Raw genomic sequence first — 15,589 nt, 5'->3', positions numbered from 1 at the left:
ACTGTGTTGGCCTGAGAGGCAAGTTTCCCATAAGTCAGGGATCAGGGAAGGACTCTGAATAAAGCAGTAAGCCATCTATCTAGTTAATCACAATGAGTTAGTGTTGCCTAGTGCATGAGTTACTCTGCCTGTAGGTGCCGGTGGGATCAGCATGGAGGGGCCAAATGGCCTCACCTTCATCTCAGTTGGGTGGAAAGGAATTTTAGGTACCAGGAATCCCAAACGGGCACTACTAGATTTCCATTTAAAGAAAAAATTATTTCAATGCCTTTGAGCAAAAAGGTCAGGGAAATTACATACAATCTTGCATTGAACTCTATTGCTAGATGAAAAGATCAGTGCATATTTTGAGCCAAGAATTCATGGAACACTTCAAACTCTGTACTCTTCTTTGTTTCTTCCATTTATAGTTTTTTATTGATACATAATAGATGTACATATTTTCAGGATACATGTGATGATTGAATACATTCATATAATTTGTAAAGATCAAATGAATGTAATTGGGATATACATCATCTTAATTATTTGTCTTTTTTTGTGCTAGAGACATTTGAATTATTGTAGCCATTTGGAAACATATTATAAATACATATAAATATATAAAAACATATTATAAATTACAAATTATAAATTATTATAAATTACAGTCACTCTATTGATGTATCAAACACTAGATTTTATTTCTTCTATCAAACTGTATATTTGTACCCATTAATCAATCTCTATTCATCTTCTTCTTCCTTCTACCTTTCTTGGTCTCTGGTAACCACCAATCTACTCTCAATCTCCATGAGATCCACTTTGTTAGCTCCCACATACGAATGAAAACATGCAATATTTATCTTTCTGTGCTTGGCTTATTTCACTTAACATAATGACCTCCAGTTCCATCCATGTTACTGCAAATGACAGAATTCCATTCTTTTTTGTGACTGAATACTATTACATACCACATTTTCTTTATCCACTCATCTATTAATGGGTACTTAGATTGATTCCATATTTTGACTGTTGTGATCAGTACTGCAATCAACATGGGAGTGCAGGTATCTCTTCGATATATTGATTTCCTTTCTTTTGCTATATACCCTGTAATGGAATTGCTGGGTCATATGGTAGTTCTATTTTTAATTTTTTGAGGAATCTGTTAGTTTTTCATAGTGGCTGTACTAATTTACATTCCCACCAGCAGTGTATGAGGGCTCCCCTTTTTCTGTGTTCTCACCAGCATTTGTTGCTCCCTGTCCTGTTTTAATTGGGGTGAATGATAACTCATTGTGGTTTTGATTTGCATTTCCCTGATGATTACTGATGTTGAGCATTTTTTTCATGCATCTGTTGGCCATTTGTCTGTCTTCTTTTAAGAAATGTCTATTCACATCTTTTAAAAGATGCTACTTAAAAATCAGATTGTTTTTTGCTCTTGAGTTGTTTACTATACCGCATACATTTTGGTATGCTGTATTTCTATTTGATTTGTTTCAAAAAATTTTAAAACTTTTTTCTTAATTTCTCCATTAGTTGTTCAGGAGCATGTAGTTTAATTTCCATGTGTTTGTGTAGTTTCTGAGATTTCTCTTGTTAATGATTTTGTTTTATTCCTTTTGTGGTCAGAGAAGATACTTGATAAGATTTCTACTTTTTTGAATTTGTTGACATTTATTTTGTGGCTTAATACATGGTCTATTCTGAAGAATGTTCCATGTGTTGATAGAAAAAATGTGTATTCTGCAGCAGTTGAGTGAAATGTTCTATAGATGTCAGTTAGGCCATGTGGTCAGTGTGTAGTTTATTTACATTTCCTTGCTGGAATGATATGGCCATTATGGAGAGTGGGGTATTGAAGTCCCCTATTATGATCATATTGTAGTGTATCTCTCATTTTAGATCTATTAATGTTTGCTTTACATATTTGGGAGCTCTGGTGTTGGGTGCATAGATATGCATAGATTTTCATAGCCGCTTGCTGAATTGACCCCTTTATCATTGTATAGTGACCTTCTTTATCTCTTTTTACAGTCTTTGATTTGTAGTCTATTTTATCTGATGTAAGCATAGGTACTCTTGCCCTTTATGGTTTCTAGTTGCATGGAATATCTTTTTCCACCTCAATACTTTCAGTCTATATGTGTCTTTATAGCTGAAGTGGGTTTCTTATAGGCAGCATATAGTTGGGTCTTGTTTCTTTATTAACTCAGCCACTCTATCCCTTTTAATTAGAGAATTGAGCATATTTATATTTGTTATTATTATTGATAAGTAAGGACTGATTACTGCCATTTTGTTGCTTGTTTTCTGTTTTTTATTTCATTTTATTTATTTTTTTAACGGAGTCTTGCTCTGTTGCCAGGCTAGAATGCAGTGGCGCAATCTTGGCTCACTGCAACCTCCGCCTCCTGTGTTCAAGTGATTCTCCTGCCTCAGCCTCCTGAGTAGCTGGGACTACAGGTGTGCGCCACCACACCCAGCTAATTTTTGTATTTTTAGTAGAGACAGGGTTTCACCATGTTGGCCAGGATGGTCTCGATCTCTTGACCTCATGATCTGCCTGCCTCAGCCTCCCAAAGTGCTGGGTTTCAGGCATGAGCTACTGTGCCTGGCCTCTGGTTGGTTTTTAACTGCTCTCTTCCTTTTTTCCATATTTCCTATCTTCCTTTGTGGTTAAGTTATTTTCTCTGGTAGTATGTTTTTTTGCTTTTTATTTTTAGTGAATCTATTATAGGTTTTGCATTTTGGTTGCCATGAGGCTTACAAAAAAATCTTATAGATGTAACAAGTTATTTTAAGGAGATGACAACTTATCTTAGATCACAAAGAATAGAAACAAAGAACAAATTTAAAAAAAAGCCTCTATAATTTAACTCCATCCTCCCAACATTTGGATTTTACATTGTCTCAATTTACATATTTTTATATTACTTATCTCTTAACAGGTTGCTAAAGGTATTACTGTTTTTGATCAATTTATCTTTTGGGCTTCCTACTAGAGATATGAATAGATTGCACACCACAATTACAGTATTAGAGTATCCTGGGTTTGTCTGCGTACTTAATTTTACTAGTGGATTTTATATCTTCAAACGTTTCCTTTTTACTCACTAGTGTTTTTTGTTTTTGTTTTTCAGATTAAATAACTCTCTTAAGCATTTCTTGTATGATGGGTCTGGTGGTAGTGAATTCTTTTAGCCTTTGTTTCTCTGGGAAATAATTTATCTCTTTTCTGTATTTGAAGGATAACTTTGCTGGATACGGAATTCCTGGGAGGCAGTTTTTTTTTTTTTCCTTTCAGCACTTGGAACATGTCATCTCACTCCCTCTTGGTCTCTATGGTTTCCATTAAGAAGTCTGCTGCCTGATGAACTGGAGTTCCTTTATATGTTCTTTGCTTTTATTCTCTTGCTGCTTTTAAGATGCCATCTTTGTCCTTGACCTTTGAAAGTTTGATTATTATATGCTGTGGGATAGCCTTATTTGAGTTGAATCTGTTTGGTGTTCTCTGATCTTTCTGTATCTGGATGGATATATACCTCTTTCTCAAGTTTTGGGAAGTGTTCTGTTATTATTTCTTTGAATAAATTTTCTCCTTGCTGTTGCTCAATTCCTTTTGAACACCAATAATTCTTAGATTTGGTCTTCTGAGGTAATTTTCTATGTCTTGTAGGTGATCTTTGTTCCTTTTTATTGTTTTTTCTTTTTTCTCCTCTGCGTATTTTCAAATAGCCTCTCTTTGAGCTCACTGATTCTTTTCTCTGTTTGATTCAGTCTGCTGTTGAGAACGTGTAATAAATTTTTCACTTCAGCAAATATATTTCTCAGTTCCAAGATTTGTTTTATTTTTAAAATTATTTCAATCTCTTTGTTAAATTTCCTTGATAAATTTCTGAATTGCTTTTTCTGTCTTATCTTGGAGATCGCTGAGTTTGTTTAAAACTGCTATTTTTCAGTTGTTAGAGAGTACACGTATTGCTGTCTCATTGGGGTCAATCACTAGTTCCTTTCTTTGCCCACTTGAGGAGGTCATGGTTTTCTGTTTGCTGTTTTTCTTGTAGATATACAGCTATGTCTTTGCATTGAAGGATTAGTTATTTATTTCAGTCTTCTCTGTCTGGCCTTTTTTTTTTTTTATTATTGGATATGTTTGTGTAGAGATTCTTTGTAATTTACCTGTTGATATCTTTCTTTTTTTTCCCCTACTATAAATAATTGCCTCCTTTTTGACACTAGATGGCACATTAAACCCAGGTTTGCCTCACTTCTAGTAAACAATCAGATTGCTGCCCATCCTGAATGGAGGAGGTCCCAAAAGGTTTATCCCAGGACTATGGAAAAACTGGCTAAGGGCTCATGCCAAGGGGATCTATGGAACAAGCTTTCCACGGCATGGTGCTGCTGAACACTCACTCTGATTTAGTGTCTCCTTTGGCTGAGCTATATCTCAGAGTTTCCAGGGGTGGTGGTCTTTCTTCCTTGCTTTGTCTATGGTTGCTCTCAGGGATAGTTCTCTCTTCAGGCACTCCCAATGCTTCTCGTGGGTTGAGGCAGGGACAAGTCTCCTCCCAGGGAACCCAAAATGATGTGGAAGCTGGTTGTCTACCTCCATTTCACTTTTTCCAGTGTATAAATCATGAGTTGGGGAAAAATTTTCCATGCACTTGGTGCCAGGTAGATTGAGGGGAGGGAGGGGCATTGTGGATATGGAAGTCTGATTCTCTTACCATCTGCTCAGAGTTTTTTTCACTGCTTTGTGGCCCTGAGAGCTGTCTTACCCTCATATTTGAGTTCTGGGATATTGCTGGTGATCATCTTGGTGCCATACAATTGTTTTAAATTTTCTGTGGGGGGAAGTGAAGCCATCTTGCCTCTATACTACCCTTTTGGAAATGGACGTCATGGTACTCTTCTGAGAAGTTGTTGGCAAAGGTTGTTTTCCTTTTTCTTAAACGAGTATTTTAATACTATGTTCCAGTGTTTAGCAACTTGATTATAAATTGATCTTCCTTTTATTTAACCTAAATATCCCTGTAATTTAAAATGATTTCCCATTCTAGCTGAAAAGGGATATTAAATCATTAACGTTTCTTCTTATTTAGGGGTGGGCTACAAATGAAAGCCATCCATAAATATTAAAACACATGCATCAATAATATATATATATTTATATTTTCAAGTTTGGGCCGGGGTGACCATGTCCTTCACGAAGTAGAGCAAAACTGAAGTTTCTACCACTATAAATATGTATATTTATACACAGATTGCAACTATAATCTTTATTTAAGGGCATGTATTCAGAGAGTACAGATTGTTTCACTTCAGTTTATTACCACTTAAAGAAAGGAGAAAATTGCTTCCCTGCCCCCCCACCTTCCTACACTGTTAAGGGATTAGTAGGCCAGCTGTAGCACTGGAGACATCAGTATGCAATGATGATAGGAGACCTGAGTAAGTAAAATGTTCAATTAAGTTTAAAAGCAATGACTTAAATTTGTCTTAACAGTTAATTAGCACTTACTATGTACCAGGGCATTAATAATATTTTCTAATTTGATCCTCACAAGAATCCTATGATGTATAGCCAATCATTATTAGCCTTCTTAAAAAAATGTGTTTAGCACAATGCTTGGCATATAATCAGACCTCAGTAAATGTCACCTGTCATTCTTATTTTACATCTAAGGAAAATGAGGTCAAAATTAAGGCCACTTACATAAGGTCACACATATGGTTCATGGCAGACCTAGGATTTAAGCAAACATTAACTCCTTTCTTGGTGATTTGTCTCTCAAAAGTTTTTAATAACTCAAGTTTGCTGACCAGCTAACAGAAGTAAACTTCCACTTTCAGTAATAATGTACTAGGTAATTCAGAGAACATCTAGAAAAGCTGTTAAAATGTAGAAATAATTCTGCCAAAAGTAGGGTTACCAAATCAAATACAGGACACCCAGTTAAAATTGAATTTCAGATAAACAAAGAATGAATTTTTAGTATAAGCAAGTTTCGATTATTGCATGGAATACACATACAATAAAAATATTATTCATTGTTTATTTTAAATTCAAATTTAATTAGATGTCCTGAAAGTTTTTTCCCCTAGATCTAGAAACCCTAGCCTGAAGGCATCAGAGACCTAGCAAGGCAGTGGAAAATAAAATAATGAGGTCAAGATACAGAACATGAAAACTCAGAGATAAGCCCAGGATTTGGGGTTGTTTCTCTAGGGGTAAGTGTGTTGATTCTAAAAGAAGCATCTGAGAGGCTGAGAAGCTGAAAAGAATATTTGACAGGTTTGCCGGGTTAAGGGGATAAAACTTAAAAATCTAAAGCCTGTCAAAAAGGAAAGCTCTGGTAATTCCCTTACGATTCAAGGTGGGACTCTGAATAATAAACGGATATACTGTTGAGAAATACACCAGCCTTAGCCCTCTGAATCATCTCAAGCCTTGAAATTCAATTGAGGTTATTCTGGATTGCTAGACATTGGTCAGAAGAAAATGTAAAACCCCTCAGGAGGAAAGTAGCATCATTCTAAGCCTCATCTGATTTCTACAAGTTTTCATTTACATTGTACTGTTCTTAATTAAAATTGACCAAGCACATGCAAAGACAAGGCAATGTAAAAAAAAAAAAAAAAAAAGAAGAAAGAAAAAAAACAGCTGACAAAGAAAAGGCAGATACATAGAATTTCCAGATATCAGAGTCATCAGATACAGGCATATGTTCCATAACAAGTAGATGTCACTCCTGGGAATCTCACCCCCATCCCCCACAGCAGCCACAGCAAGACCTGCCCTAAAAGTCTGAGCTCAGACACGTCTAGCCCTGCCCCCACCTGGTGGTCCTTCCCTACCCACCCTGGTAGTGGAAGATAAAGGGCATATAATCTTGAGAGTTCTAAGGCATCGCCCACCACTGGTCCCTCTGCATACTACTACAGCCGAAACTCTCTGGAAAGTGCCACCTCCTGGTAGGAGGCCAACCAGTACAAAAATAGAGCATTGAACAACCAAAGCCAAGGACCCCTATGGAGTCCATTGCACCCTCTGCCACCTCCACCAGAACAGGCACTGGTATTCATGGCTGAGAGACCTATAGATGGTTCACATCACAGGACTCTGTGCAGATAACCCCCAGTAACAGCCTGGAGGCAGGTAGACTCGCTGGGTGGCTAGACCCAGAAGAAAGACAACAATCACTGCAGTTTGGCTCACAGGAAGCCACACCGTAGGAAAAGGGGACAGTACTAATTCAAGGGAACACCCCAGAGGCAAAAGAATCTGAACAACAGCCTTCAGCCCTAGACCTTCCCTCTGATAGAGCCTACCCAAATGAAAAGGAACCAGAAAACACCAACCCTGGTAATATGATAAAACAAGTCTTGTCAATGCCTCCCAAAAATCACACTAGTGCACCAGCAATGGATCCAAACCAAGAAGAAATCCCTGATTTACCTGAAAAAGAATTCAGGAGGTTAGTTATTATGCTAATCAGGGAGGGACCACAGAAGGGCGAAGCCCAATGCAAGGAAATCCAAAAAATGATACAAGAAGTAAAGGGAGAAATAGTCATGGAAATAGATAGCTTAAAGAAAAAAACAATAAACAATTCAGGAAACTTTGGACACACTTTTAGAAATGTGAAATGCTCTGGAAAGTCACAGCAATAGAACTGAACAAGTAGAAGAAAGAAATTCAGAGCTTGAAGACAAGGTCTTTGAATTAACCCAATCTAACAAAGACAAAGGAAAAAGAGTAAGAAAACATGAACAAAGCCTCCAAGGAGTCTGGGATTATGTTAAATGACCAAACCTAAATATAAACGATATTCCTGAGGAAGAATAGAATTCTAAAAGCCTGGAAAACATTTGGGGGAATAATTGAGGAAAACTTCCCTGGCCTTGCAAGAGACCTAGACAGCCAAATACAAGAAGCACAAAGAACACCTGGGAAATTAACCACAAAAAGATCTTCCCCTAGGCACACTGTCATCAGGTTATCTAAAGTTAAGATGAAGGAAAGAATCTTAAGGTCTGTGAGATAGAAGCACCAGGTAAACTATAAAGGAAAACGTATCAGATTGACAGCAGATTTCTCAGCAGAAACCCTACAAGCTAGAAGGGATTGGGGCTCTATCTTCAGCCTCCTCAAACAAAACAATTATCAGCCAAGAATTTTGTATCTAGCGAAACTAAGCATCATATATGAAGGAAAGATATAGTCTCTTTCAGACAAACAAATGCTGAGAGAATTTGCCATTACCAAACCACCACTACAAGAACTGCTAAAAGGAGCTCTAAATCTTGAAACAAATCCTGAAAACACGTCAAAACAGAACCTCTTTAAAGCATAAATCACACAGGACCTATAAAACAAAAATACAATTTAAAAAGCATAAAAACAAAAACAAAGTACACAGGCAACAAAGAACATGATGAAAGCAATGGTACCTCATATTTCGATACTTACATTGAATGTAAATGGCCTAAATTCCCCACTTAAAAGATACAGAACCGCAGAATGGATAACTCACCAACCAACTATCTGCTGCCTTCAGGAGACTCAACTAACACATAAGGACTCACATAAAGTAAAGGGGTGAAAAAAGGCATTTCATGCAAATGGACACCAAAAGTGAGCAGGGGTAGCTATTATTATATAAGACAAAACAAACTTTAAAGCACCAGTGTTTAAAAGAGACAAAGAGGGACAGTATGTAAGGGTAAAAGACCTTGTCCAAAGGAAAATATCACAATCCTAAACATACATGCACCTAACACTGGAGCTCCCAAATTTATAAAACAATTACTAATAGACCTAAGAAATGATATAGACAGCAACATAATAGTAGTGGGGGAACTTCAATACTTCACTGACAGCACTAGACAGGTCATTAAGACAGGAAGTCAACAAAGAAACAATGGACTTAAACTATACCTTGGAACAAATGCACTTAACAGATAGACATAGAACATTTCATCCAACAGGCCGGGTGCAGTGGCTCACACTTGTAATCCCAGCACTTTGGGAGGCCGAGGCAGGCAGATGACTTGAGGTCAGGAGTTTGAGACCGGCCTAATCAACATGGAGAAACCCCGTCTCTACTAAAAATACAAAATTAGCCGGGCGTGGTGGCGCATGCCTGTAATCCCAACTACTCGGTAGGCTGAGGCAGGAGAATCACTTGAACCTGGGAGGCAAAGGTTGCAGTGAGCCGAGAGTGCGCCATTGCATTCCAGCCTGGGCAACCAGAGCAAAATTCCGTCTCAAAAAACAAAACAAAACAAAACAAAAACAAAAACGAAGAAAAAAAAGAACATTTCATTCAACAAACACAGAACACACATTCTATTCAACAGTGCATGGAACTTTCTCCAAGATAGATCATATGATAGGCCATAAAATGAGCCTCAATAAATTTAAGAAAACTGAAATTATATCAAGCACTCTCTCAGACCACAGTGTAATGAAACTGGAAATCAACTCCAAAAGGAACCTTTAAAACCATGCAAATACATGGAAATTAAATAAACTGCTCCTGAATGAGCACTGGTCAAAAACGAAATCAAGATGGAAATTAAAATATTCTTTGAACTGAATGACAATAATGACACAAACTATCAAAACCTCTGGGATACAGCAAAGGTGGTGCTAAGAGGAAAGTTCACAGCCCTAAATGCCGACATCAAAAAGTCTGAAAGAGCACAGACAGTTTAAGTCATATCTCAAGGAATTAGAGAAACAAGAACAAACCAAACCCAAACCCAGCAGAAGAAAGGAAATAACCAAGATCAGAGCAGAACTAAATGAAATTGAAACAAAAAAAAAATTACAAAAGATAAATGAAAACAAAAGCTGGTTCTTTGAAAAGATAAATAAAATTGACAGACCATTAGCAAGATTAACCAAGAAAAGAAGAGAGAATATTCAAATAACCTTACTAAGAAATGAAACAGGAGATATTACAACTGATACCACAGAAATACAAAAGACTATTCAAGGCTAGTATGAACACCTTTATGCACATAAACTAGAAAACTTAGAAGAAATGGATAAATTCCTGGAAAAATACAGCCCTCTTAGCTTAAATCAAGAAGAATTAGATACCCTGAGCAGACCAATAACAAGCAGTGAGATTAAAATGGTAATTAAAAAATTACAAACAAAAAAAAGTCCAGGACCAGACAGATTCACAGCAAAATTCTACCAGACATTGAAAGATGAATTGGTACTTTTGACACTATTCCACAAGATAGAGAAAGAAGGAACCCTCTCTAATTCATTCTGTGAAGCCAGCATTACCCTAATACCAAAACCAGGAAAGGACTTAACCAAAAAAGAAAACTACATACCGATGTCCTTGATGAACATAGATGCTAAAATCTTTAACAAAATAGTAGCTAAATGAATCCAACAATATATCAAAAAGATAATCCACCATGATCAAATGGGTTTTATAAGAGGGATGTAGGGATGGTTTAACATATGCAAGTCAATAAATGTGATATACCACATAAACAGAATTGAAAACAAAATCACATGATCATCTCAATAGATACAGAGAAAGCATTTGACAAAATCCAACATTTATGATTAAAACTTTCAGGAAAATCGTCACAGAAGGAACATACCTTAGTGCAATAAAAGCCATCTATGACAAACCCACAGCCAACAAAATACTGAATGGGGAAAAGTTGAAAGCAGTCCCTCCGAGAACTGGAATAAAACAAGGATGACCACTCTCACCACTCCTCTTCAACATGGTACTGGAAGTCCTAGCCAGAGCAATCAGACAAGAGAAAGAAATAAAGGGCATCCAAAGCAGTAAAGAGGAAGTCAAACTGTCACTGTTTGCTGATGATATGATCGTTTACCTTGAAAACCCTAAGGACTCCTCCAGAAAGCTCCTAGAACTGATAAAAGAATTCAGCAAAGTTTCTGGATACAAGATTAATGTACACAAATCAGTACCTCTTCTATACATCAACAGCAACCAAGCAGAGAATCAAATCAAGAACTCAACCCCTTTTACAATAGCTGCAAAAAAAAAAATTAAATTAAATTAAATTTTAAAAAATTTAAAAAACCTTAGGAATATACCTAACCAAGGAGTTGAAAGACCTCTACAAAGAAAAGTGCAAAACACTACTGAAAGAAATCACAGATGACACAAACAAATGGAAACACATCCCAAGCTCATGGATGGGTAGAATCAACATTGTGAAAATGACCACACTGCCAAAAGCAATCTACAAATTCAATGCAATCCCCTTCAGAATACCACCATCATTCTTCACAGCATTAGAAGACACAATTCTAAAATTCATATGGAACCAGAAAAGAGCCCACATAGCCAATGCAAGATTAAGCAAAAAGAACAAATCTGGAGGCATCATACTACCTGATTTCAAGCTATACTATAAGGCCATAGTCACCAAAACAGCATGGTACTGGTATAAAAATAGGCACATAGACTAGTGGAACAGAATAGAGAACCCAGAAATAAACCCAAATACTTACAGCCAACTGATCTTCCACAAAGCAAACAAAAACATAAAGTGGGGAAAGGATGCCCTTTTCAACAAATGGTGCTGGGATAATTGGCTAGCCTCATGTAGGAGAATGAAACTGGATCCTCACATCTCACCTTATACAAAAATCAACTCAAGATATATTAAGGACTTAAACCTAAGACCTGAAACTATAAAAATTCTAGAAGATAACATTGAAAAAACTTTCTAGACATTGGCTTAGGCAAGGATTTCACGACCAAGAACCCAAAAGCAAATGCAATAAAAACAAAGATAAATACCTAGGACCTAATTAAACTGAAGAGCTTTTGCATGGCACAAGGAACAGTCAGGAGAATAAACATACAACCCACATATTGGGAGAAAATCTTCACAATCTATACATCTGACAAAGGACTAATAGCCAGAATCTACAACAAACTCAAATCAGTAAGAAAAAAACAAACAATCCCATCAAAAAGTGGGCTAAGGACGTGAATAGACAATTCTCAAAAGAAGATATACAAATGGCCAACAAACATATGAAAAAATACTCAACATCACTAATTATCAGGGAAATGCAAATCAAAACCACAATGTGATACCACCTTACTCCTGCAAGAATGGCCATAATAAAAAAAATAAAAAAACAGTAGATGTTGGCGTGGATGTGGTGAACAGGGAACACTTCTACACTGCTGGTGGGAATGTAAACTAGTACAGCCACTATGGAAAACAGTGTGGCAATTCCTTAAAGAACTAAAAATAGAACTACCATTTGATCCAGCAATCCCACTACTGGGCATCTACCCAGAGGAAAAGAAGTCATTATTTGAAAAAGATACTTGCACAGGCATGTTTATAGCAGCACAATTCACAATTGCAAAATCGTGCAAGCAACCCAAATGCCCATCAATCAACAAGTGGCTGTAGTGTGTGTGTGTGTATATATATATATGATGTGTGTGTATATATATATGATGTGTGTGTGTGTGTGTGTGTGTGTGTGTATATATATGATGGAATACTACACAACCATAAAAATGAATGAATTAACATTTGCAGTGATCTGGATGAGGCTGGAGACTATTATTCTAAGTATAATGTAACTCAGGAAGGGAAAATCAAACATTGCATGTTCTCACTGATATGTGGGAGCTGAGCTATGAGGACACAAAGGCATAAGAATGATACAATGGACTTTGGGGACTTGTGGGGAAGAGTGAGAGGGGATCGAGGGATAAAAGACTACAGGTATGTTGTGGTGTATACATGGGTGATGGGTACATCAAAATCTCACAAATCACCACTAAAGAACTTACTCATGTAACCAAATACCACTTGTACCCCAATAACTTATGGAAAATAAAATAAAATAATAAAAATAAAAATAAAAAACCATAAAAGAGAATGATTTCAGTAACTTTCTTCTGATAAGAGATTGCCAACCATAGACTGGTTCTGGCTTGTTTACAGAGGCTGCACACCTGAGTGCCTCCATGTCCCTGCTTTAGCTTTTGATGTATACGGCCTAATAGTAATTCATTTAAATGTTAAGTCTCTACCCTAATGTTAACTTGGGTTGTATGTTACATACATGTTTTTCAATATGCATATTTCAGGAACCCCTTTGTGAATATTCATAACTCCTGCTATAACCCATTAAATATGTATACTTGGCCAACCTGTTCAACATAAGTTCCTCTTCTGCTCTCTCCTCCCTTAAAGTGCCTGTTTCCAGTCTTTGCTGAGCGGAGTCTATACTTCACAGCCTGTGGAATGGCCACCCTGCAGACTATAAACCCTTATACAAAATAAAGTCCCCTTTCTAAATTAAAAACAAAAAACAAGTAGATGTCACTGAACATATACTTAAAACACTCGAGCAAAAAGAAGACAAGATTGAAACTACTAGCAAAGAATTAAGTCTACAAAATGAACCAAACAGAAATTTTGAATCCGAGAAATTCTGATAAACTGTACTTTGAAATAGTGAACTCAATGAATAGGTTTAACAGTAGATTAAACAACACAGAGGAGAAATTTTAAGGAACTGGAATATAGGTCAGAAAAAAACCCAGAAAGAAGCATGCAGAGGAAAAGGATGGAAAATATAGACGAAAGAGCAAGAAACACACAGGATACTAGCAGATAGTCTAAAATATAGGTAACTGAAATCTAAAAGGACAGCAGAGAGATGATGGTGCTACATCGAAAGACATCAAGGTATAGATTCAAAAAGCCCTATGAATCCAAAAGGAACAAAGCAATCAGACATCAGAGAAAAAAAAAAAGACAAAAACAACATCATCATCCAATGAAGGAAAAAGCTAGCTTACCTTCAAAGGAGCAAGAGTCATATTGACAGACGACTTCTTAACACAAACAGAAACAATGGAAGACAAGGGAATGAGAACTTCAAAGTGCTGAAAGGAGATATCTGTCAACATAAAAATATGCTTTAAGAATACTGTTGTCCAGAGGACTTCATGACTAAAACACCAAAAGCAATGGCAAGAAAAGCCAAAATAGGCAAATGGGATCTAATTAAACTAAAGAGATTCTGCACAGCAAAAGAAACTACCATCAGAGTGAACAGGCAACCTACAGAATGGGAGAAAAGTTCTGCAATCTACCCATCTGACAAAGGGCTAATATCCAGAATCTACCAAGAACTTAAACAAATTTACAAGAAAAAAACCAAACAACCCCATCAAAAAGTGGGCAAAGGATATGAACAGACACTTCTCAAAAGAAGACATTTATGCAGCCAACAGACACACGAAGAAATGCTCTTCATCACTGGTCATCAGAGAAATGCAAATCAAAACCACAATGAGACACCATCTCACACCAGTTAGAATGGCGATCATTAAAAGGTCAGGAAACAACAGATGCTGGAGAGGATGTGGAGAAATAGGAACGCTTTTACACTGTTGGTGGGAGTGTAAACTAATTCAACCATTGTGGAGACAGTGTGGGATTCCTCAAGGATCTAGAACTAGAAATACCATTTGACCCCATTACTGGGTATATACCCAAAGGATTATAAATCATGCTACTATAAAGACACATGCACACGTATTTTTATTGCGGCACTATTCACAATAGCAAAGACTTGAAACCAACCCAAATGTCCATCAATGATAGAGTGGATTAAGAAAATGTGGCACATATACACCATGGAATACTATGCAGCCATAAAAAAGGATGAGTTCATGTCCTTTGCAGGGACATGGATGAAGCTGGAAAACATCATTCTCAGCAAACTATTGCAAGGACAGAAAACCAAACACTGCATGTTCTCACTCGTAGGTGGGAATTGAACAATGAGAACACTTGGACACAGGGCAGGGAATATCACACACGTCTGTCATAGGGTTGGGGGGCAGGGTGAGGGATAGCATTAGGAGAAATACCTAATGTAAATGACGAGTTGATGGGTGCAGCAAACCATCATGGCACATGTACACCTATGTAACAAACCTGCACGTTGTGCACATGTACCCTAGAACTTAAAGTATAATTAAAAAAAAAAAAAAGAATACTGTTGCCCAGACATTGCAGTTTGCCAGCACCGTGAATATCTGAACATCATGGCAAGTTTTTAGCTACTCAGGTGTTACAATATCTGCAATGCAAAAACACTGAGATCTTATGAACCAGAGTATAATCAGAGTTGATGAATTAGACAGAGATAGATCAGCACAGCCTTCCATTGTGAAGTCACTTATTTTGCAGAAAGGATCAAATTATCTACGTAGAAACATTTTTTTTTTTCTTTTGAGATGGAGTCTTGCTCTGTCTCCCACGCTGGAGTGCAGTGGTGCATCTTGGCTCACTGCCAGCTCCACCTCCCAGGTTCATGCCATTCTCCTGCCTCAGCCTCCTGAGTAGCTGGGACTACAGATGCCTGCCACTACGACCAGCTGATTTTTTTGTATCTTTAGTAGAGACAGGGTTTCCCTGTGTTAGCCAGGATGGTCTCGATCTCCTGACCTCATGATCTGCCTGCCTGCGCCTCCCAAAGTGCCAGGATTACAGGCGTGAGCCACCATGCCCGGCCTCTATGTATAAACATTCT

The 15,589-nt window shown here is 37.2% G+C and overlaps 1 protein-coding gene across 17 annotated transcripts in view, besides 1 other annotated feature; it reads right to left on the bottom strand.

Annotated features, from left to right (window-relative positions):
* The window catches only part of HECW1 (HECT, C2 and WW domain containing E3 ubiquitin protein ligase 1), a 453,355-nt gene that overhangs the window by 207,687 nt on the left and 230,079 nt on the right, over positions 1-15,589 (bottom strand). The window lies entirely within an intron of this gene.
* Positions 11,761-11,930: an enhancer, noted in NCBI's record as "experimental_98938 CRE fragment used in MPRA reporter constructs". NCBI's record gives its function as "activates a minimal promoter by MPRAs in K562 erythroleukemia cells, with activity observed for the non-introgressed 7:43386069 variant allele {active_cell/tissue: K562}" and the evidence as "EXISTENCE:reporter gene assay evidence [ECO:0000049][PMID:34662402]".

This window comes from Homo sapiens, chromosome 7, assembly GCF_000001405.40.
Source record: "Homo sapiens chromosome 7, GRCh38.p14 Primary Assembly".
NCBI lineage: Eukaryota > Metazoa > Chordata > Mammalia > Primates > Hominidae > Homo > Homo sapiens.
Note: the sequence above shows the minus strand (reverse complement) of the source record. Positions and strands in the feature narration are given on the sequence as shown.